Below are 23,678 nucleotides of genomic sequence, written 5' to 3'. Positions count from 1 at the left end.
AACAAGATATTTAAAAATATTTTCTACATAAAGATAACCAATTAAAATTATGTTTTTGGTAAATTCAGGCCATCTTCAAGAGATTTTTACACCAGATATTAATGTTATCATCACAAAGTCACTCTAGTGGCATGACCACATTAAGAAATTGGAAACCACCTAATTGTACTCCACAAGTAACAGCTTTCCAGGATTAACATCTTTTATAAATGTACACATGGCTCCTGTTAACCTAAAAAAATATATTGGAGTTGAAAATCTCTCAGGCTGAGGAGGATCTCTGTAAAGTAGTTTTATAATAGACTGGAGATACCATCAGACGTCAGGGATTAGTCTGTCTTTAGTCCGTCTCCATCTGTGAGAAGGCCAATAAATAATAAAACACAGGCTTTGACCCACATTTTGTTTTATCTCAACATTAAAGAGTTCCTTTTATATGCAATATTGCAAGTGCTCAAAACAGTACCTGAATTGAAAATAGAAGGTATTCACCCATTATGAAATATAGTCGTTATTTTGGAAAAGCAAAAGTCATCTAATTATAAGATGGGATTCCCAGGTGGCATATCAAATATGGATTGCAAGTTATTTTTCAATTTTATTTTTTAAAATTGGGAGAAATTTGGCAATACTCTGAAATAATCACATATAACCTATAGCGACACAAAACCATAATTGGAAAACACTTTAAATAGTTTTTTAGAATTAAACATAAAAAAAGGTTTAGTTTATATAGAACTATCATGTTTCCCTAATAAATAAAATGTGACTTAAATGTTTACTCTCTCTCCATATGATTTTGTATTATGAAAATATAAATATCCTTTTATTCTCAGAAAAGTCAGTCGAACTACTATTTGATTAATTTACTGTAGAGCTATCACTGATTTTTGCAAAGCCCACTTACTTGGTACTGGGTCGAATTTCTTGACCATTTTTATACCATTTCACCTCCAACTTTGGATCTGCCAGCTCCACAACAAACCTCACTCTGCCTCCTTTGTCAACCTGATATGCAGGATCAAGAATTTTTGCAAAAGCTGATAGAATAGAAGAAGCAAAAGTATGTTAATATATGTATACATATGCTATGAATTTAAATAGTCAATACATGTAGGAGAACCTAAAAGCAAATGAAAAAATGAATCTCAAGAAAAAAATCAGAAACCTTCCAAATTATCCTTTATATTTCGAACACTGTGTTGACTTATATACAATAAGATGGTTTAAATTGAAAAGAGAATCCACATGTTTCTAGAAGAAAGGTAAGAAAAGAATCATTGAAGAAGCTTTAAAAATGACCTAATTCTTCAGGGAATGTACACTATAAAGCGTTCAGATGAAAGTGAACTTTAAAAACACGCTGGGGCTGGGCACGGTGGCTCACTCCTGTAATCCCAGCACTTTGGGAGGCTGAGGCAGGCAGATCACTTGAGGCCAGGAGATCGAAACCGGCCTGGCCAACATGGGGAAACCCTGTCTCTTCTAAAAATACAAAAATTAGTGGGGTGTGGTGGTGCATGCCTGTAATCCCAGCTACTCGGGAGGCTGAGGCATGAGAGTCACTTGAACCTGGGAGGCAGAGGTTGCAGTGAGCTGAGATCATGCCACTGCACACTCCAGCCTGGGTGACAGAATGGGACCCTGTTTCAAAAAATAAAAATAAAAATAAAAGAACATGCTTATTCTTCCAGCAGAATTACTGTTAGTGTCATTGGCCTTATTTCTGCACTCCTTCTAAGTCACAGATGGTTTTTTAACCACAGAATTTATAAGATAAATTCAGTGATTCATATTAAATCGAATGCCTTTGACTAATTGAAACAGTAGGCTTACTAAAGTTTTTATACTGTGGTAACTTGCCCAAACAGTGGCATTTTAAAAACACCCCTTGCACATACGTTTAGGAATTCAGGATTTCCAAATATTTTAAATAACATAGAACACAGCAATTAAAAAAAAAGTTGTCTTTGAAGGGTCCTAAATAAAGATAGTTAACTTCTTTTTTTAATTTAATAAGTTTTTTTCCTGCTTTTTAAAAGATAATAATTCTCATTTAGCAGTTTGGAAAATACAAATGTGAAATGCTTCATGTTGTCATGCTTGTATTTCCATCATTCCAACCTTATTATACTATTGTTTAGGTAAGCTCACTGTCTCATATTTTAACAAGATAAAATAAACCCTAGCTTTTAAAAAAGCCATCTACCACACACCTTAGGAGATGAATTCAGAGCTAAGTGATAACAATAACAAAGTTCAGCTTGGGGAAAAGAGATGTCAGCTGGCTCTCCCCTGTAGTATTAATACACCTCTCAAAAATATAACTTCAGGAGTTCTGGGATAGTGGGAATGGCTGAACTACATAAACTAAAAAAAACCCTACTACATTTCTCTGGGGCCATTTCTCAACCAGTTTCCAGGAAGTTCAGAAATAAAGGTCAGATTTTTTTTAAAGGGTGGTAAAAATCTTTAAATTCTATTGGAACATTAACAAAATAATAAACAATAATAGGATTGATATATTACTAACCTGATGTGTCATAAAACCCATAACCAATAATGACCGAGTATAGGAAGCTTCGAAGAGCTAATGGTCAGCGTAAAATGTATTCCTTTCTCTCCTTTTTTTCTTTCCACTTTAAAAAGGTATTTCAGACCACAATAAACTGGACCCATTTCAGACCCCCACGGAGCTGCTTATTGGTTTTACAAAACATTTTGCTAACCATATTGGGTGTGAGAAAGTGAACTCTCCACACGCCATCAAGTGGGTGAAAGAAAAGGATGGTGAAAGAGTCCACTCTGCTTAAGTAAAAATCAATAATTTGACAGTGAGTGGGGATGTGGAGGCTGGAGAAAGGGGGCGGCTGAGAAATTCCCAGTAACCGCGGGGGTAATGTACTATTCCATTCTACGTTGTATGTGGACCATGAATCTCCTGTTACCTTGAACCTTCAGGAGCTGTCCGTCTAGACAAGCGTAACCCCTGCACTCCTACCCAGCCCCACTCCCAACCCCGCGGGAGACTGGAAGGAGCTCGGGATGGGGTTCACGGTCAAGGCTTTCGAACGCTGCCACGCCCCTCGGCCGCTGCCTCGCCCCCGGGAGCGCTCACCTGCGCTCTTCTTCTCCTCTCTGCGCATGCGCTTGAGTCGCTTGAGCATGCCGCGCAGGTCGGTGATTCCATACTGGAAGGCGATCTTCTCGTACTCACTGGGTTTCGCGTTCTTCAGCAACTCCCATACGTCCACCTGGGGTTCTTCCTCCTGCTGCTTCACCTCCCTAACCGGGGAGAACCATGGTCTAGTTTAGTAGCTGCACTGACCCTTAGAGACCACGAAGGTCGAGGTATAATTCTGCTTTTTCAGTTCAGTGTAAAAAAGCTCTGTTTAAAGCCTGAGTACTTGAAGCCCAGAAGTCAAGTCTTGCTTGCTGGAATGGAAGTCTTAGGGAAACTTGCAGGTAGTAGAAGATCAAATGTGTGCCCTTATAGTAACACCTTTCGTTTTCCTAGTTAATAAAAACAATTTTAGGGGGAGTAGAGGACATCAGGAAATAGCCTAAAAATATATTTTACTTATTTTCAAATTTAAAGTCTAATTAGAAGATGGGATTTTGAGAAACTTAACAGTTTTCATCTAGGATATGGATATTGAATTATTGAAAATTGGACTAGAACTAAAAGGTTTAGATTTGGCCTATGAAATAAAAATGATCTCTATTTTCTTTGATGTACACACCCTAGCTAAATATGGAGACAGTACAAATACATTATTTCAAACATTTGGATTTTGCAAATAGCATTTTCCCTACCATATTAGTAACTAAGTACATGAACCATTTTTTACCTTTCTTAAAATAAAAAAAAAAAATTGAAACTGCCATGAGTTTTTTGTTTGTTTTTCACATGGTTTTTATGGATACTGATGGTTTTAAAATTTTTTTTCTAAATCGGCAGGGGGAAAGGAGACTAGGTTTTAAAAATTTTCTTACATTTCATCTTAAAGTACTGTCTTGAATGTTTTTTGGAAGCAAATTGGGTATGAGTTATAAAAATACAAATGTTAAACTGTGAAGCAAATGGTTTAGGGCACCATGAACAAGGGAAAGTAACTTCTTAGGGTGCATACCAAAATTATGACCCCAACTTTTGATCATTGACTACAGAACACATAAAGAACATATATGTGTTAAAAATAAGATTTAAGATTTAAGTAAGATTTAAGATTTACACTTGTCTTCCTTTCTTTTAAAAGCATAAAATAAAAATAAAATTCAGAAATAAACACTCTTTTGGAAAACAGGCTTAGTATAAACAAATTGGTTTCCTTCATTGAATAAATAATCCTGATTTTGTTTACATTTACATGACTATTTTTATCAGGTTAATTTAGAAATGTTACAACGACTGCTTACCGTAATGCTGATTTGGATATGATTTTCTGGAAAACTGGTCAAACATCTTATATATCAGTGTGAAAATGAATTCATGCTATCATGTTAGGGAATGATGGGTTACATCTGTTTGCATTGTCATATTCATTACACCTGTTTCAGAGTGCCTTCTTTTTTTTTTTTTTTTTTTCTTTGAGACAGAGTCTCACTCTGTTGCCCAGGTTGGAGTGAAGTGGTGTGATCTCAGCTCACTGCAATCTCTGCCTCTTGGGTTCTAACGATTCTCCTGCCTCAGTCTCCCAAGTAGCTGGGATTACAGGTGTGTGCCACACCCAGCTAATTTTTGTATTTTTAGTAGAGATGGGATTTCACCATGTTGGCCAGGCTGGTCTTGAACTCCTGACCTCAAGTGATCCGTCCACCTCGGCATCCCAAAGTGCTGGCCACCACACCAGCCTGGAGTGTCATCTTTACACTCATGTGTACTTTGAGAAGGAAATACTGGGTTGTAATCATGGATAAAATATGCAGGGGAGGGGAGGAGATTATAGATATTAATATAGAGTTTAGGGTGGCATTAGGCAAGGATGACATCTGAATATCTAACTTCCATTTTACATTGCCATGTAAGTCTTTTTGCCCAGTGGGTTTGGGGGACATTGAGGCAGAACTCCTGGAAAATAGAAGGAAGTGAAAGGTCACTGGTCTCTCCAATAATCTTGATGGGAAGGACTAGACAACACCATTAGCAAAATGTGCCTCTTAAAAACTCAAGACACAAGCATTATCTTCATCTCACTGAAATAACAGCTACATCCTTTATTAACATGAGAAAATCGAAAAGCTTAAGAAAATTGTCCTGAAATTGGAATATTGGTAATAATTTGCCAGATCCACTAAATCTACTTCCTGGAAACAGTAAACACTTCAAATACATCCTTTAAATATTTTAGTAGGAAGTCTAGGAGAGTCACAATTATGATGTATATGTATAGGCCGGGTGAAGTGGCTCAGTCTTGTAATCCCAGCACTTTAGGAGGCTGAGGTGGGAAGATTACTTGGGCTCAGGAGTTCGAGACCAGCCTGGGCAACATGGTGAAACCCCGTCTCTACAAAAAATACAAAAATTAGCTGGGCATGGTGGCGCATGCCTGTCATCCCAGCTACTTGGGCTGAAGTGGAAGGATTGCTTGAGCCCAGGAGGTCGAGGCTGCAATGAGCCAAGATTGCGCCATTGTACTCCAGCCTGGGTGACAAAGTGAGGCCCTGTCTCAAAGAAAAACCCAAAAAAGATGTATATGTATGTTCATATGTATATATTTTCTGCGGGGTGTTCCCTCAATCTAGATTATTAGTGCTCTATTTTTGTCACATTCCAGCCTAAATATAGTCCCCAGACTATAAAATTATGCCATACTGGATTATGTTAAATTTGTATTTGAACCATGAAGAATTGCACACATACATTACATATTTCAGCTATCCTCCTGACATTGGCGGAGGATTTAAAGCTATCAAGCTAGATATAATTAAAATAGCTAACAAGAGGCACAAGTCACTGAGTCCTACATAGATCCATGAGGTGAATATTTATATGAAGGAAACCAGTAATAAAGATGATAATTTTGAGTGTGATTTCCTGAGTCAGTTTTGTTGGTAGATTTATAAAACCAATCATCCTCACCAGTTTTCATTAAAATGCCAAGATACTCTCCACTCTTATCACATACTTAGTCATATCAAATTTCATATAAGAACACCAATGACCTCTTGCCTATTCCTTCCTTTTCTCTCCATTACTTAATTGTATCTCAAATCGTAAAGAGAAGCATCTATCTTGTACTGAAATGTGAGGTCAAGGCTCTCACCTCCAGCATTTCCTTAATGCACCTGGAACATATCTTTAGTTACTTACCATGGTGGCTGCACATGACCCTGTCTGCATGGCTATGTTAAGTTACAGTGAGGAGAAAAAGCCAAATTTCTGTAGGCACTTCTGATTCTTTTCCAAGCCTCGGGATAGACCTGTATAATACTCACTGTATTTTCATCTACATCAAAATTTCAATAACTTGGTGATCCTAGTGAAGAGTATAACAGTTATAGAAATTTTATGTAGAGTACAACTTACAAGTATTTATACAGGTCAATTCCTATAACAGGATGCTGCCCAAAAGATTTAATCTGATTTAGCTAATGTCTATTTGAAGTAAGCTGGCTTTGTTCAGAGCAGGAAGATCTTTCGTTGTACAGAGATGTTGGTTTTAATCATATTTTTTTTTCTTGTGGGGATTTTGGCACACACACTTGGAGGAGTAGAAATGGTAACCATATGTCATTACCGCAATGAAAACGCATGCAACTCACTAGTAGGAAAACACAATGATTTCTAAAGTTATATTAGTGGATTAGTATAGTATACTAAATGAACATAACATAGCCTTATATTAACAACAATCTAATTATGAATGCAAATCTTAAGCAGGGGATAAAAGAAAATGAGAACTGGAGACATGTTGGCTGCCCATTAAGTGATTTTTAAATTTTGTCATTTTGACTATGTAATTAGATTTATTTTATTCTGGAATTACTGGTTGAAAAAGTCTGTTCTTTTTTCTTTCTTTTTTTCCTTTTTAATCAGAGCAAGGTGCTTAATAATCTACTGTATCACATTTTTGTTGATTGATTGTGTATGTGTTTGTGTGTTGTCTCCTTATGAATATAAACTATGTTAGAGAAAATGACACATTTCCTTAGAGGAAGTACATATTTATTTGCCACCTACTGTGAACCAAGCTTTTTACACTTAATTTAATTTGCACAATAATTCTATTAAGTAGTGTTTATTCTTCACATTTCCAGATGTGAAATCCAAGTCTCAGAGGGGTCAAATATTTGACCAAAGTCACATAATTAGTAAATGGTAGAGCTGAGACTCCAGTCCATGTTTTTACCACTATTTTTCCTCCCACAAAAGTGTATCTATCCTTTTCTATGTGCCAGGCACTGGATTTCTTTTCCTCACATCAGTAGCATTATATTCTACGCAAAGACAGTGTTTAGTATTTTCCTGACTGAGTAAATGATTGCAGGGAGAATACAAAGCTCTCTTGTCTTCCTAAAGTGTCAATTTGTGTTATAAACTGAAGCGCCAGCTTCCAAGGCAAATTCAGAGTGGTATCTTTAATATGGAGTCACAGGAAATGAGCTGACTCATAAAAGGGAAACTTGGGTTTGGGTCCTGGCCCTGCCTCTAACTCCTGTGTGACTTGGGATAAGTCACTTGTTGTCTCTGTACCTTGGTTTCTTATCTGTAGAATGAGGAAACGTGAGGCTCACTTAAGGGCACTTCATATACTATTGCTTTAAATGCATTTGGGGAATTAATCAATACTATTGAGACTAATGGTTATTTGAAGTAGTCTATTGATGGGCTAATAGCCCTCAGGAATTAATAAATCACACCCATTAATATTTCTGTTCTCAACCTACATGTTGAGGGATAGGGGTAAATTTTTCATTTACAGAGACTTCAATACAGCTATCTAACTAAACAGAGAATAAACACAATCCCAGTATATTTCAAGTGTTTGTAATTTGTTATGAAGCATATTTGTACTTGTAGTCTTTTAATAACCATAGAAAGCACTAAAAGTAATTTTAAAAGCCTGGAAAGTTAAATGAAAACTGATATTATATACAATTAATTTAAAATTATAGTTTTACTCTGTTTATTTACAAATTTGCTAGATAAAACATAATCTCAGAAAAAAAGTGTTTCTTTTTGTTGCTTCTGCACTATAGTAAATATCTAGATATCTATAACAGGCATATAATATAGTATATATATAGGGAATCCTAGTGAAGAGTATAGCAGTTATAGAAATATATATGGAGAGAAATCTTATAAAATGGTTATGTTCTAAGTATCCATAATGAAATCCTATAAATTTTATTGCAGGAGAGAACAATGAAAAGTGTCAGTGTGTGATGATACTAAACTTTTATTTCCATTTTGTCACTTCTAAAACACATTTTTGAGGCATTTTAAAGACCTCTGAAATGACAATGCATCTTATAATCAATGGTGTGTCAAACCATTTGGAACAATTTTTTCATTGCTTAGTGATTTATAAAGTGCTGGTGTATCTTAATAGCAGTGGTGTCTTAGACTTGCAGAAATACAGTACATCATAAATAATACATTAAAGTAGGTCTGCCTCTTACAATGTGTATACCTTCAGACTTCTACCAAATCATATGTGCAGTCTTAGAGGTTTCTAGGTATTTGTCTTATGTCTCAGTTTTCATATCTCTTCGTCCCCATTTAAAAAAAAATAGGTGAAGAGTCATGAAACATTTAAAAAGAAAGTTTAAAAGCAACTGTTAAAGGCTTTAAAAGATTAGTATGCAGTTGTTTCTCTCTTTCTAGTCAACTCTGTTATATTCTATAAGCAAAACACATTTTCAGAAATGAAAAATTCTCTGAAGAACATCCACTTTAAACTTGACTTCTCTGAGTGGGTGTCTGAAAGACTTCCAGGCCACAATGTCTCACTCCATCACTTTGTTCTCACCTACGTTTCAGGAGACCACTAAAGTCAAGTTCTCCTGCATCCTCTTGACCTTCTCCACTGTCGTTAACAAAAGAAAAGCAAATCTGGGTTTAATGCAGAGACATACACAACAATTTCCCCCAAACACTCTACATGTAACGTATATGCAATTTTGTGCCACACAAGGACTAAATCAACACAAACTATTTCTTTTCACACAAGTGACATGTTAAGTTTTTGGAGTATGTACTTGTGGAAAAGTAAACATATGAGGAGCTTGTGTTACGCTATGATTTCAGAAGACACATTTTTGTAGATTGCATATATAAAACTGCTTGGATTTGTGTTAAAACCAGGTAACACAAATGCACTTAAGCCAAGCAACACAAAGTACTTTGTTTTTGCAAGTTGGGGGCTGTAGAAACATACCTATGTAAAAAGCAAAGAACTTTTGCTGATCTCTGTTATTCATGTAAGACAGAGATTGGCTTGGAGGACGAAGTGTACCAATGTCAGATATATAAGTACAAAGCCTTATATTCAATGGTAACCTCTTTGTGTCCATGAACAGATGAATCAGATAATGTGATACTAACATGGCAAAAATAAAAAAGGAGCTAACACAGAAATTTTTAAAAGATGCATTCCTTTCTGTCTTAAAGGGTGATAATTATTCTAATTTTCTTATTAATATTTATACCTTCTTAAATATGTTTTAAAAAAATTTGTCTTGAATTGTTAATGAAACTTTTACTAGCAGTTTAAAAAAGTGCTTTCTTGTAGAGAAATGCATCTTAAATTAGGCATGCAGCCACCACTGTGATTTCATATAAACTCTAACCAGAAGCTACAGAGCTAACATTTAAATGGCACTACATAGTTACTTACATGTTTAATTTTTTAAGGAAGTTTTGTTTCCTGCTCTTTACAAATGTTAGTTATGGTTTCTAAGAAAAGAGTCTGTGGGTTTAAAAACAGTGTGTATAACATGTAAGTCATAAGAATTAAACTCAGTAATGTGTTTTCAAAATTTCTTCAGGTGTTTGCAGGCCTTTTGAAGTAAATACATTTCTGTTCTTTTAAAGCTCAAAACTTAGTAGATCATGTTTCCCTCTCCTAAGATATACTTGTATACAGTATGAGCATAGTTTTAGACCTGTGCATTTGCTGAGCATGGGATGAAGGGAAAGTGGAAGGAAAGTAATAAAATTTGAAAGTTATGACATTTTTTAAAATTAAAAAATACCTAATACCAGTAATATTAAATAACTTTTCAAAGTAATTAAAGTTTTGATTTATTTATAATATCAGAGGAAAATATGCCTCATTAACAGGCTAAATTATTGTTTTATAATAGTTTGGAGTGACTTTCCTTATTCAGCAAAACTGTATGTGGATTCTGTATGTGGATTCAGTCTTCGGAAGAACAAAACATTTGGTCTCATTAAAGAATTTATATTATGGAATAATTAAGTACAGAGAATAACATAATGACAGGAAGGGGCTGGTTATATTTCTCAGAGACCAAAAATCTTTTACATTTCTTCCTTGACCGCCCCCCCTCCATTTTTCAGCCTTGGTAATTGCAAAAATATATGAAATAGGTATCTAAATTTTGCCTTTCTGTAGTATTCTTAATGCCAGTTTCATTTAGGATAATCCAATATTATATGGCACTAACTTCAGTAAGTAGCTACTTGGTTGTGGTTTTCTTGGGCACATGGTTCAGTAGCTCCCTGAGTGATTTCTAGATGAAAGGCAATATAAATAAAAGTTTTCTGCCGTGACTTAACCAATGAAATGAGTCTCTTTGCGTATTTCTTTTGGCCATTTGGTGGAAAGTAATGCTTTAAGGAGGAAGCTACATATGAATAAATTGAAAGTGTCTTTCTAAGGCAACTGTGAAACCTCCAAAACAGGAACTTCTTTATAACAAGAACATTCTAAAAAATGGTCAGTATATGCTTGACTGGGCCTTAAACCCATGGTTTTTCTAGAACACCAATGTTTAAATATATGGTGTTTTTGCGGTGAAAAGTGTTGTTCGTATTTGGAATACGGAATACAGGGGAAAGGAAATGTGTTTGAAAATCCTCCACTTCTGTGTTATACAAAAGCTATCTAGATTTTTCTTTTGGAGTTACCTTCTCTTGAAAGCAGATCTGATGTCAATGTTTGGAGTAGTCCCAGTAGATTCTTTGAAAGGAAAGAAAACAATAACATAAATACCCATTAAGGAGGTAGTTTGTGTTCAGTTCCTTTATAGGCTGTGGGGATTCTTTAGATGGAAGAATGTCAGGTGAAGGGGGGAGGCTTTTCTCCTGAATGGCTGTGCTGCCAAGGCCTCATCATACCTCCTCCTCCCTCATGAAGAACCAATGAAGGGACCTTGGGGTCACCTTGTTCAGGTGTCATTCAACTTGTCTGCCCACTAGAATCACTGAGGGACTTAGAAATATATCAGTTTCTTGATCCTCTCTGCCAAAGATGTTGATCCACCAGATCAGGGAGGGGCACCCAGAAATCAATATTCTTAAATAGCCCTCCAGGGGCCGGGCGCGGTGGCTCACGCCTGTAATCCCAGCACTTTGGGAGGCCGAGGCGGGCGGATCACGAGATCAGGAGATCGCGACCAGCCTGGCTAACACGGTGAAACCCCGTCTCTACTAAAAATACAAGAACAAAATTAGCCGGCCGTGGTGGCGGGCGCCTGTAGTCCCAGCTACTCGGGAGGCTGAGGCAGGAGAATGGCGTGAACCCGGGAGGCGGAGCTCGCAGTGAGCCGAGATCGCGCCACTGCACTCCAGCCTGGGTGACAGAGAGGAGCGAGACTCCGTCTAAAAAAAAAAAAAAAGCCCTCCAGGTGATCTTCTCAGAGATGCCCAGCCAGGTTGAAGCAGTGCTGCCCAGGATCCCAGATCCCACCTAATACAGAAATATCGACAGCACCCGACCCATGGCCATCCAGCCTCTGCTTGACATCACTCTCAGTGGGACTCTCACAACCTTCCTGGGCTGTCTATATAGCTTTAACCGAAGAGCTCGTCCTTTTTTTTTTTTGTTGAGACGGAGTCTCACTCTGTTGCCCAGGCTGGAGTGCAATGGCGCGGTCTTGTCTCACTGCAACCTCCGCCTCCCCGGTTCAAGCGATTCTCCTGCCTCAGCCTCCCAAGCAGCTGGGATTATAGGTGCCCACCACCACGCCTGGCTAATTTTTGTATTTCTAGTAGAGACGGGGTTTCACCATGTTGGCCAGGCTGGTCTCGGACTGCTGTCCTCGTGATCTGCCCGCCCCGGCCTCCCAAAGTGCTAGGGTTACAGGCGTGAACCACCGTGCCTGGCCAGCTCATCCTAACGTTAAGACAAAATTCACCTCCTCATCATTTCCACCTTTTGATTCTAAACTGCCTAAATGCTTCTCATGCATGGAAATTTGTTTTCCATTTTCTGTGTGACAGCCCCTTCCCCTCTTTGCAACAAGCCATGTATGCCTGACTTCCTTCACCCACACACTCAAGCTGGATAGGGTGTGGTTTTTGGATTCTTCATCTTCCTGGTTACTCTACTCGAGAAGAGGTCCAGGCAGAGGTATAGTGACCACGGCTAAAGACATCACTCCAAATGTAGAATAAGTAGCATGTTGTAGAGAGAAGTATCACTTCCTAAACTTAGATCCTATAGCACTTGGAATAGCCCAGTTTAAAATTACATTCATGGCCGGGCACAGTGGCTCACACCTGTAATCCCAGCCCTTTGGGAGGCCAAGGCAGGTGGATCACTTGAGGCCTGGAGTTTGAGACTAGGCTGGCTAATATGGCGAAATCCCGTCTCTTCTAAAAATACCCCAGCAAAATTAGCCAGGTGTGGTGGCACACGCCTGTAATCCCAGCTATTTGGGAGGCTGAGGCATGAGAACTGCTTGAACCCAGGAGTTGGAAGTTGTGGTGAACCAAGACAGTGCCACTAGATTCTAGCCTGGGCAACAGAGTGAGACTCTGTCTCAAATAAAATAAAATTACATTCACTTTTTTGTCTTTTGCAACTACATCACACTTTACATTCACCTTAAGTTTATAATATTTGCTGCCAAGTCAACTTTTCCTTTGTATACTTGTAAAAGCGAGTTTTTTTCCAACCTCATCGTATGCATTTAGGCCTTCTATGTTTACTCTGGGTAGTGCACAGAACATATGGATGAAGAACTGCCATGCCTGACATTAGTCGTTATAAGAGAAATTCTCCCTTCCATCTGGGTATCCTGAACTCTCATAGCATATTACCCTATCCCCAAACCTAAGTGGGAAAGTGGACCCCTTGAAACATACATTCTGTAGCAGCAAAAACTGACATCATCTTTTATCTGGGAGATTGAAAGAATATAGATAGCATGGACAAGAGATATTTAGCGATAAAATCCCCCCAATTCTACTTTTATTATAAATTATTTCATTACAATTCAATTCAGCAAGCTTGCTGAGACTACCACAATCAGAAACAGTTTTAAAGGAAAACTTTCTCTGAAATCTCATAGTATTAAATGAACTACTTCTTCTCCATCCCCTCACACCCCATTAAAAAATTACATTTATCTAGGCAAGAAGGCTCTCTTACCGTGCACTTCAAGATCAAATGAACAGCTGTCAAACTTATCCTTATAGGTGACCTCGCATCTGTAATTTCCTGCAAAGTTATCTTTGGCCTTGATGATCTGCATCTCAAATGTGTACACCTGCAATGAAATGCATCCAGACACACACATTTCAGTTTATTTTCCAAATTTCTCAGCATTGGCTTAAAGCTGTGTCTGTCTGTGGGAATTCCAGTACAATGTTCTCACTATAGGAGGGCAAATGTGTCCTGTAGCCCCCGGACACAGCCGGGCAATCGCAATAGAGTGTAGACACTGCAATGGTAACTTCAGAGGATTTTCTGGAACTGAAGTCTCTCAAAGCTGAACCTGAAAATAATCATTTATTCACATAGAAGGAATGCGCTAGCTGAGCGCCTGTCCTGGGAGTTCAGGGCCTTACCCGACTGTGCCTCTCAAAGGTTTCCTTCAGCTGAAGGTGCTTCCCGGCTTTGCTGGCCAGGTCCATCCATTTTCCTTTGAACCATTTGATAGTGGGTTTTCTCAGAAGATCTTCAGCCTTGACTTTGGCTATGAAGGTGATATCTTCACCTAGAAGAAGCATAAGGGATTCAGCTTGCTCTTTAACAAGCGTCATTTGTTTTGCTTTCAACTGGAAGGAGTTGACATGGGACTGCACTACAGAATATGGTGTGATTGGTGCCCTCGGAATTGTGAAATGAATTCGTCCTGATTTTTTTATGAATGCTCTAGAGGTCCTTAGGCTGTCCCAGCTTGTTCTGCTGTGGGGGTTTATGAAGCAGAAAAAGTAATAGGGAAACCAGTGGAAGTAATTTTTATATATGGATAATTTTACATTTGGGTAATTTTTTATTTCATATATATGGACATATATGGATATGTATGATATATGTGAACTTTTATTGCATATATGGATATGTATAAAATTTTATTTCATATATATGGATATGTATGAAATAAAAATGAAAAAATTGAATTTTTTTCACTCTTTTTATTAGGCAAGGTGATGAGAAGCCTGGAATTATAGGAATGTGACTAAATCAAACTGATCTGCTTGAAGTAAACCTGCAATCTGTTTGTATTGAGTGATTTAGACCCTGAGGACGTGACATTGTAGTCCAGCTTCCAGCCCAGCATTTCAATGTCGTACAGGAACATAAGGGGAACCAACATTTCTGTTCACATGCAGTGTATTTTGACATTCTAGCCTGGAAAGAAGTAATTCTGGAATACAGTTGGCTATGTACTCATTTGCATAATATTGATAAGTGTCAAAGACTAGTTCAGATCATAATATATCCCTTATAAAGATTTATTTGGTTAAAATTCTTCAACCCTCAGGTCCTCCTCCAGCTCACCATCCCTTCATAGCACTTGGCATTTGTGATTATTTGTTTATTTTTTTCTCTGCTCCTCTCAGACTATAAATTCTGAGTGCTCACATGTTATACTCAGTGCCTAAAACAGGAGGTATATAATCAATATTTTTGAATTTGAATATTTGAAGAGTTGAACCATTTGCCCAATCAGCTGTCTCAGATATTATGAATTATGACCTAGCGCATGTGTAGATTTGGAATCATCTTATGGAGTGAGTTATGGTAATGTCAGCAGACACTGGCTCAGCATTATGGTGTGTCAGGCACTGTTCAAAATACTTCACAGCTAGGTCCTATTCTTGTCACCATTTTACAGATGGGGAAACTGAGGCATAAAGAAGTTAAACTGTCTTTCCAAGGGTAATAGCTAGCAGGAAGCAGAATCAAGATCAGAACCCAAGGTTCCAGGGTCCAGGCACTGGACTCCTATGTGCTGAAGGTTACTGAAATCATAGCTGTCACTCATCTTTTCAGGTTGTAAAAAGCAGGATTTAGTGTATACACACAGTGGAATATTATCCAGCCGTAAAAAGGAATGAAGTTCTGATACATGCAACAATGTGGATGAACTTTGGAAACATTATGCTAAGTGAAAGAAGCCAGACACAAAAGGTCCTGCATTGTCTGATCCCATTAATATGAAATATCCAAAATAGGTAAATCCAGAGAGACAAAGCAGATTAATGGTTGCCAGGGCCTAGGAGGAGAGGTCAATGAGTAGTAACTGCTTAGTGGAATATAGGGTCTTTTTGGGGTGATGAAAATGTTTTAGAAATAGATAGAAGTAGTGGCTGTACAACATTGCGAACGTACTAATAGCCACTGAATTGTTCACTTTAAAATGGTTAATGTTATAAGTGAATTTCACCTCAAAATTTTTTTTTTTTTGGAGACAGAGGCTTGCTCTGTTGCCCAACCTGGAATGCAGTGGCGCGATCTCGGTTCACTGCAACCTCCGCCTCGTGGGTTCAAGCGATTCTCCTGCCTCTGCCTCCTGAGTAGCTGAGATTACAGGTGTCTGCCACCATGCCCTGCTAATTTTTGTATTTTTAGTAGGGACTGGGTTTCACCATGTTGGCCAGGCTGGTCTCGAACTCCTGAGCTCAAATGATCTGCCTGTCTGGACCTCCCAGAGTGCTGGGATTACAGGCGTGAGGCACCGTGCTCGGCTCACCTTAATTTTTTAAAAAAGGAAGGATTGAATGCTAGGCACTCACCAACTTTCACTGTTCCTCCTTGAGGTTTTTCAATGAACAAGATGGACAGCTGGGAGTTGGCATTCTGCTTGGCTTGTTCCTCCCCAGGAGGAGTTTCGACAAGGGTCCAGTCTGATGAGCAGAAAGGAGGAAAAGGATTATTTCAGGGCCAGGCTCTTCTTAGGCAGTCTTACCTGGATTTGTTGTTCTCACCAACGCTGTAGCTTTTCTTTGTCTAATAAACCTAGATAAATACAACATCATTCTTTCTGCCCCCAGCAGCCATCAGTAGAGGGGAACAGATTCCCATTCTTACAGGGGTATCTCTTCCATGATGGGGCAAATGAACATTATGTAATTCTTAGAAATAGTGGAACTTTCCAGGTAAGCTGTTATTCTCTCTTTGATGGCAATAATTCCTTTGCTTCCCCATCTTGCCTGTCCCCTAACAGGTAAACAATGGTGGCCAGTGTATTCAAGCAGTACTCTTGGTGTTTTTCTAGGTGATGGACTATAAGGCCACATCGATACAACTACATTGAAAAAGACTAAACGGATAGGTCATTTGGAGGGTAAACTGTCTGACAAGGGTCAGAAAGCCAAGCCTGGCCTGGTATTTCTAGATTCCTTGCTTTTGTAAGAGAGTTTTATTAGGGTTGTACAGATGTGGCCATAGTTTGACAAGGAAGTAACAGATCATGACCTGTGGTACAAATTACAAGGATACTGAGATTGTGCTGCAAGGGGGAAAAGCAAAACGAAACAGAGAACTGGAAAGAAAAAAACTGAGGCTTTCCCATAAAGAGAGACAAGCTGGAAATAGAGTTTCTTTTGCATCTTCTCATTTGCACTCTGGTGATAAGTGTTAATCTGCAGTCAATTCCAATTCTAGGATAGTAGAGAGAACTGTAGATATTTCCCCTGTCTCTGAGCCGAATGCAGAGTTCAGGTTCAGCCATTTAGTAACTGGAAAAAAATGCATAGGTTGCCAACTCTCTGCTTGTTGATGTTTCTTGAAAAGAAGGAAAATGCACATTTAATTATTTTAGTTTTCATGTATCAATCATGCTTGATATTTCTATCTGTAGTAGTAGGCCATCATTTTCACAATGAGGTTAAACATTTTCACAATTATGTGACAATCATAGTCATGTGATTACATATTTTTAAACACCCAAGCTAATGTTAAAATTTTGTTGTTTGTGTTTATGATATTAATAGGAGCACATTTAGAACATGAGGATAAGTGTTTCTCTTGTTTTGTTCACTTCTATACCTGCAGTGCCTATAGGAGTGGCTGGCCCATAAGAGGCCCATAATAGGATCATATTAGGTCCTCAGTACAAATTTGTCGAATGAATGAATGAATGAATGACTTCACAGAACAGGAGCTACAGCTGATAGGATGCATTTGAAAATGTTTTATTATCTGTATGTAAAGTTCTATAAAAATGTGAATTATTATCTAACTTTAGTACATCCCCAAAATGAAGATTGATCTCTGTGTATTTGCTAAATATTAAAAATGATAGAACAAACCTGTGGTATTTTTGGCTAGATCCTTGAATGCGTGTGTATCATGCAAAATTAATTGTTTCTCAATACATTAGTTTTCTTGTAAGAGGAAACGTAATGAAAGATTGCCGTAAAAACTACAATCTGAATAAGACAAGGATTAGAATCAATACAGCTTCAAGAAATGAGCTCATTAGTGATTGTATTAGGATGAGGTCAGGATGCCTTCTCTGGGCTTGCGCTCACCTGAATCTTTTCTCTCCAGGGCCCGACTACCCAAACCTGAAAGGAAAGTGTGATTTGGGTGATGCAGAGGGGTGGAAAGGGGATGAAAATGGAGTGCTGACTTCAACCTTCTTGGATTCCCCTAAACCCTGTCTCCTCTGGTGATAGGAAGGAAAAAACCCTACAAGTTGGCTTGGATGGAAAATCAGTAGAGCTCCAAGTATGAAAGCATCTATAAAAGTGTGTGTCTTATTTTAAAATGATAGAAAAATTAAAAAATCCCAGCTGGGGGCGGTGGTTCATGCCTGTAATCCCAGCACTTTGGGAGGCCAAAGTGGGTGGATCACTTGAGGTCAGGTGTTCGAGACCAGTCTGGCCAACATGGTGAAACTCCGTCTCTACTAAAAATACAAAAATTAGCCCAGCTTGGTGGCACACACCTGTAATCCCAGCTACTCAGGAGGCTGAGGCACGAGAATCACTTGAACCTGGGAGGCACAGGTTGCAGTGAGCCGAGATAGCACCACTGCACTCCAGCCTGGGCAATAGAGAGAGACTCAGTCTCAAAAAAGAAAAGAAAAATTTTAAAATCCAAATATCTAAATTTAAAGAACAGGGAAAAGGGTGGATATATAGTGAGAAATGGAAGACAGATATGTTGACCCCTAACATTTATACCCAAGATTTACCAATCTTATTTATTTCTCAAAGAATGCCTCTTTCTAAGAAGTTTCTCACGTAAAACAAAAAATTGTCATTAAAGCCAACATTTCCTTCTTGGTGCCAGCACAGGCGAAAACTGTTGCCCCTGCTCTGTGCACTGACTCAGCAAGGAGGCTCACTGCCTTTTCTTTTCCTCTACCGTCAATGAATAATATATTTAAAAGCAGGGAAAAGGGTAGAAATTATCCCAACCTGGAGGCAAGGCGCTAGGCGGGGAGACTTCCTCTTCATCTGAAACAAGAAATAGGAGTAAAAAGTCAAGGAGAAAAGACTTCATCCCAAGTAACCTGAGAAAAGAGAAATCTGAAAAAGAAGATGAGAAACCACACAATACACTTTCAACTGCTGAGCAAGCCTTAGAAAACTTGGTACCTGAAAAGTGAAACCTGAGTTTTTCAGGCAAAGAAAGAAAAAATAATAAATAAAAAGTTGACAGAGTAGGGTAATCCAAATGGAAGCACAGATTTAAAAATGGAACACTGCAAATTTTTTATGTGACTGTAGGTTAGGAAAAAATGAATGCTAAAAATCAAACCTTGATGAAATCAATAATGGAAGTGGTTTTCAAGTCCTGATTTTGTAACTAAAGTGAATGGCAGACCTTATTCATATATCACATTCGTTTGGACACAGACATAAAAGCCTATATATGTACTATCTGAGAACTCATTTCTACCCAGAAAACCTCATGATTAATTGCTCTCAGTATTTAAGAAACAAAAGTCAAGATAAGTTAATATAAACTTTATAAGCATTTTTTCCAACATTATATTGGTGTTGGAAAATGCTGTATCATTTCTGAATATTTACCCATATGTATTTGTGAAATTCAAAATATGTCTTTTAGTGTTTATGTGCAGAATATTTCCCTTTTAAAAAACATCTGAACTTCAAAGTTCACATTTTATTTATTTGTTTTGGATAAACAAGTTCATTTGTAAATTTAGTCAGCCTACCTAATTGACCTAAAAACTTCAGTAGAAGGATAAATTTTTTTTTTTTTTTTTTTTTTTTGAGACAGAGTTTCACTCTTTTTGCCCAGGCTGGAGTGCAATGGCGTGATCTTGGCTCACCGCAACCTCCGCCTCCCGGGTTCAAGCGATTCTCCTGCCTCAGCCTCCCAAGTAGCTGGGATTACAGGCACCTGCCACCATGCCTGGCTAATTTTTTTTTGCATTTTTGGTAGAGACGGGGTTTCACCATGTTGGCCAGGGTGGTCTCGATCTCTCGACCTTGTGATCCACCCGCCTCGGCCTCCCAAAGTGCTGGGATTACAGGCGTGAGCCACCGCGCCTGGCAGAAGGATAAATTTTAAAACTGCTTGGAAGACCATCTCTATTAAAGTGATTTTCCCAGGACAGTAACCAGATGCAGCCTAACCCAACACCATCTTAATTGGCAGAGGTTCAGTGGGCTGGAGCTTTGTGCTTTTTATAATACAAATGCTATAAGAAAAAGAACGTCGGTATTGTTTCCTGTTAGCAGAGGAGGAAAACTCAACCTAGTCAGGAGACCAACCACAACAAAATGAAAAGCTGCACTAACTAATTAAGAGTATTAGTAACAGATGATGCTGGTGTGAAAAACTTGTATTTTATTCTAGAGCCCTTATAAATAAAATCTCTCCAGTTAGTGTTTATATTATCAGCCAGCGGGTTATTTATCGTGTGGTAGAATGAGGACTTACGCAAGGTATAAATGCGCATAGCATTTCACCACTATGAAAACAAGTGCAGTCCAGTTAGAATAAAACCAACTGAACTCTAAATTACACACACCTTAATGATAAGACTCCCCATCACTTGTGAATGTAAAACATTTAATTTAAAAATGTTAACACTCCAATACATAAAACAGCTATTATGAATGCACCTGGTATATTCTATAGCTGCCAGGTTTATTTATTTATTTTTTTTTTAAGGGAACTATAAGTTACAGTGTGGTTAAGACTTGTGTCTTCATCCTTGAAAAAGCCCACATTCTATCACAGTGATGTATGGTCAGACTTAACAGCCCCGATTTTTAAACACCTGGATCAAGTCATAACCAGTTTTATTGCAAAGGACCCTGTACACATTTATCAATTTAGTACCTTACTAGTTACCCAGCAAGTCACTAACATACAGAAACATTCATCATGAGAAGCAAGAAACACTACCCATCCCTTCTGCATTTTAGCAACTTGTTACTCCTAAGCAACAGTGCTCACATCACTGAGGTCTGTGAACAAAGTTCATATTTTACATCCTTAAAGAGCATTTGTTGTTATCTGAACCTCTGCTCTGCTCTTCCCAAAGCATAAACTAGTGTTTTTATGAATAATAAAATCTTCGTACTTAAAATACTAGAATATTTGTGAATTTGCCTGGGCAACATAACAAGACTCTCTCCGTAAAAAAAAAAAAAAAAAAAAAAAAAATTAATTAGCCGGGCTTGTATATTATTTGCACACTGAGCACTTGGTAGTGTGTGCTGTAGTCTTAACCACTTGGGAGGCTGAGGCTAGAGAGTTACTTGAGTCCAGGAATTGGAGGCTGTAGTGAGCCATCATCACGCCACTGTACTCTAGCGTGGATGACACAGCAAGACCCTGACTCTAAAAACAAAAACAAAAGCAAACTAGAATAACTGTGGATTTCAAAATGTAAATGTATATGACTGTACAAGCAGGATACAGGAAATACATGCCCAGGAATGTTAATTAAAAAGTGCTTTAAAAATTCCTGACAAAAAGACATAAAATAGTATGTTTTTATATAATCTATTAGAATATTTACTACAAGTATTACCCACTGGCCTGAAATTTCTTTTCCCAAACTGTCAAACAGGGATATGTGTTATTACTTTTTAATAAAATTACTAATATAATATATTAATATCATTACTTCAGAATCCAAGAGGTGATTTACTGGGTCATGTGGGATTTGAGATTCTTAACAGGAAGCTCTCTGTGGTCAAAGAAGCTTGAAAAATGCTAGGCTGGAATTAAATGCTTGTATTTTATTGTTTTGTGTTTATGTGTTTACTGCAGGATATCTCAAAGCTCTCAGTGTGCAAATAATGTGTACTGGAAGTGGGGGTGACAAGAAATGATATGGTCGTTAGCACCTCCCAAACTTAGTTCATTTTGAATTTTTTCTCCTGAACTAATATGCATGCATTCACATTCCACAACATTGTGCATTTGCCCGGTATAGGTATTTCTGAGCTATTAGAAGAATTCCGTTATTCAGAAGACTGTGAAATAATTAAAATTTTACATGTTCAAAACGAAAATAACTCACAATTTTCCCATAATATTACTTGCCATAGATTTAATTCAGTATTTAGTACTTTATTCTTGTTACCTATTCAGAGGTTTTTATTTACTGAAATATATAAGATTGTTGATTTAAAGTCCTGTAAAAATTAACAGAAATGAAGTTAAAATTCAATCAAGTCCTAGAAAGGAGCTTTCTTTATTAAATATAAACTGGACGCTTGAACCATTTTGATTCAAATGAATACTTTATAAAGGTTTTGTGGTGGTTTACTTTTTGTTTGTGCACAGAGCATAATGAAACATTGAGTTAATTACCTAGAACACAAAATGAGAAGAGTATTCACTTACTTTCATGAAACTAAAATGAAGAAAAATAATCTTGTCTTTAAAAAATTGATTGATACATCATAATATTTGCACATATTTATGGGGTACATGTGATGGTTTGTTACATGCATAGAATATGTAATGATGGCAGTCTGGGTTTTTTTGTTTGTTTTTTGAGACAGAGTCTCCCTCTATCGCCCAGGCTGGAGTGCAGTGGCACAATCTCGGCTCACTGCAACCTCTACCTCCCAGTTTCAAGCAATTCTTGTGCCTCAACCTCCTGAGTAGCTGAGACTACAGACGTCTGCCACCACACCCAGCTAATTTTTGTATTTTTAGTAGAGACAGGGTTTCACCATATTGGCCAGGCTGGTCTTGAACTCCTGGGCTCAGGCAATCCTCCTGCCTTGGCCTCCCAAAGTGCTGGGATTACAGGCATGAGGAGGCACAGCACCTGGCCGGCAATCTGTTTTTTAAGCAAAAATTTGATAGGTGAGTAGTTTCAAAGTCTACTAAATGTTAAGACTATTTGGAGGACATGCACAGTTGTTTTAGACCATGAAGGAATACATATGAATGCAGCGCTTCAGAGTATCATGAAATAGTCTTCGTCTAGATCACCCAACAGTAGTGTCAAATAGCAATTACTTCTCAATTGGCAATCTTGGATTCATTGCACATAAATTTTCAAATTTATGAAAGTGCTAGAAAACATAATCAACATGAGCAAAGCTTACTGTTTCCTTTCTTTTATTTTTATTTATTAATTAATTTTTTTTTAGACAGAGTCTCACTCTGTCGCCCAGGCTGGAGTGCAGTGGCACCATCTCAGCTCACTGCAACCTCCGCCTTCCAGGTTCAAGCAATTCTTCTGCCTCGGTCTCCTGAGTAGCTGGAAATACAGGTGTTTGTCACCATGCCTGGCTAATTTTTGTATTTTTATTGGAGATGGGGTTTCACCATGTTGGCTAGGCTGGTCTCAAACTCTTGAGCTCAAGTGATCCTCCTGCCTCAGCCTCCCAAAGTGCTAGGATTACAGGCACAAGCCATCTCACCCAGCCAGTTTCCTTTCTTTTAAAAGTTGCTTCAGTCCTGGCACTTTTTTTTAGATTGGGAAATGTAGTTAAGATATTGGGATTCTGACCTTAAATTCTCAAAAAATTGCCTGGCTTGATTTGGTTGAGTTCGATGAGACTGAAATGTTTAATGGTTCTTATTTTTCATAGAAACCAGGTTCTATTGCTAGGAGGTAATTTGAATATCCAAATCTTTCTGGTTGTGTCCAGTTCAACAACATATATATGAATGACGTAGCATCTTACAACATTTTCAAACAAAACAAAAAATATATGTAAGTCATATTTCATTTTTTTCTATCTAAACGTGGTGATGATGAATACATAAACATCAGATTTTAGCTTGTTGGAATATGACATACAGGGAAACCACACACTCAGCGTAGCAGGGCTATCTTCCCCCTAGCTACAT

General features: G+C 37.9%; 1 protein-coding gene across 31 annotated transcripts in view, besides 1 other annotated feature; it reads right to left on the bottom strand.

The window, feature by feature from the left end:
- Positions 1–23,678, bottom strand: part of MYBPC1 (myosin binding protein C1) — a 100,871-nt gene that overhangs the window by 50,138 nt on the left and 27,055 nt on the right. For 12 of the 31 annotated variants that reach the window (XM_006719411.4, XM_006719409.4, XM_017019317.2 and 9 more), the window contains 7 exons: positions 16,160–16,270; positions 13,985–14,133; positions 13,566–13,683; positions 11,099–11,150; positions 8,976–9,032; positions 3,119–3,285; positions 908–1,040 (listed from right to left, as the gene is read on the bottom strand). In XM_006719411.4, the coding sequence (XP_006719474.1) occupies positions 908–1,040; positions 3,119–3,285; positions 8,976–9,032; positions 11,099–11,150; positions 13,566–13,683; positions 13,985–14,133; positions 16,160–16,270 (787 nt within the window). Of the gene's footprint in view, positions 1–907; positions 1,041–3,118; positions 3,286–8,975; positions 9,033–11,098; positions 11,151–13,565; positions 13,684–13,984; positions 14,134–16,159; positions 16,271–17,899; positions 17,936–18,793; positions 18,833–23,678 lie in introns of all 31 variants that reach the window. The other 19 variants (XM_017019316.2, XM_006719406.5, XM_006719410.5 and 16 more) reach the window with 4 other exon arrangements.
- Positions 10,643–10,732: a silencer, noted in NCBI's record as "silent region_4768". NCBI's record gives its function as "represses an Ori minimal core promoter by ATAC-STARR-seq in GM12878 lymphoblastoid cells {active_cell/tissue: GM12878}" and the evidence as "EXISTENCE:reporter gene assay evidence [ECO:0000049][PMID:35858748]".

This window comes from Homo sapiens, chromosome 12 (genome assembly GCF_000001405.40).
Source record: "Homo sapiens chromosome 12, GRCh38.p14 Primary Assembly".
NCBI classification, from domain to species: domain Eukaryota; kingdom Metazoa; phylum Chordata; class Mammalia; order Primates; family Hominidae; genus Homo; species Homo sapiens.
This window is presented reverse-complemented; position numbering and strand designations above follow the sequence as displayed.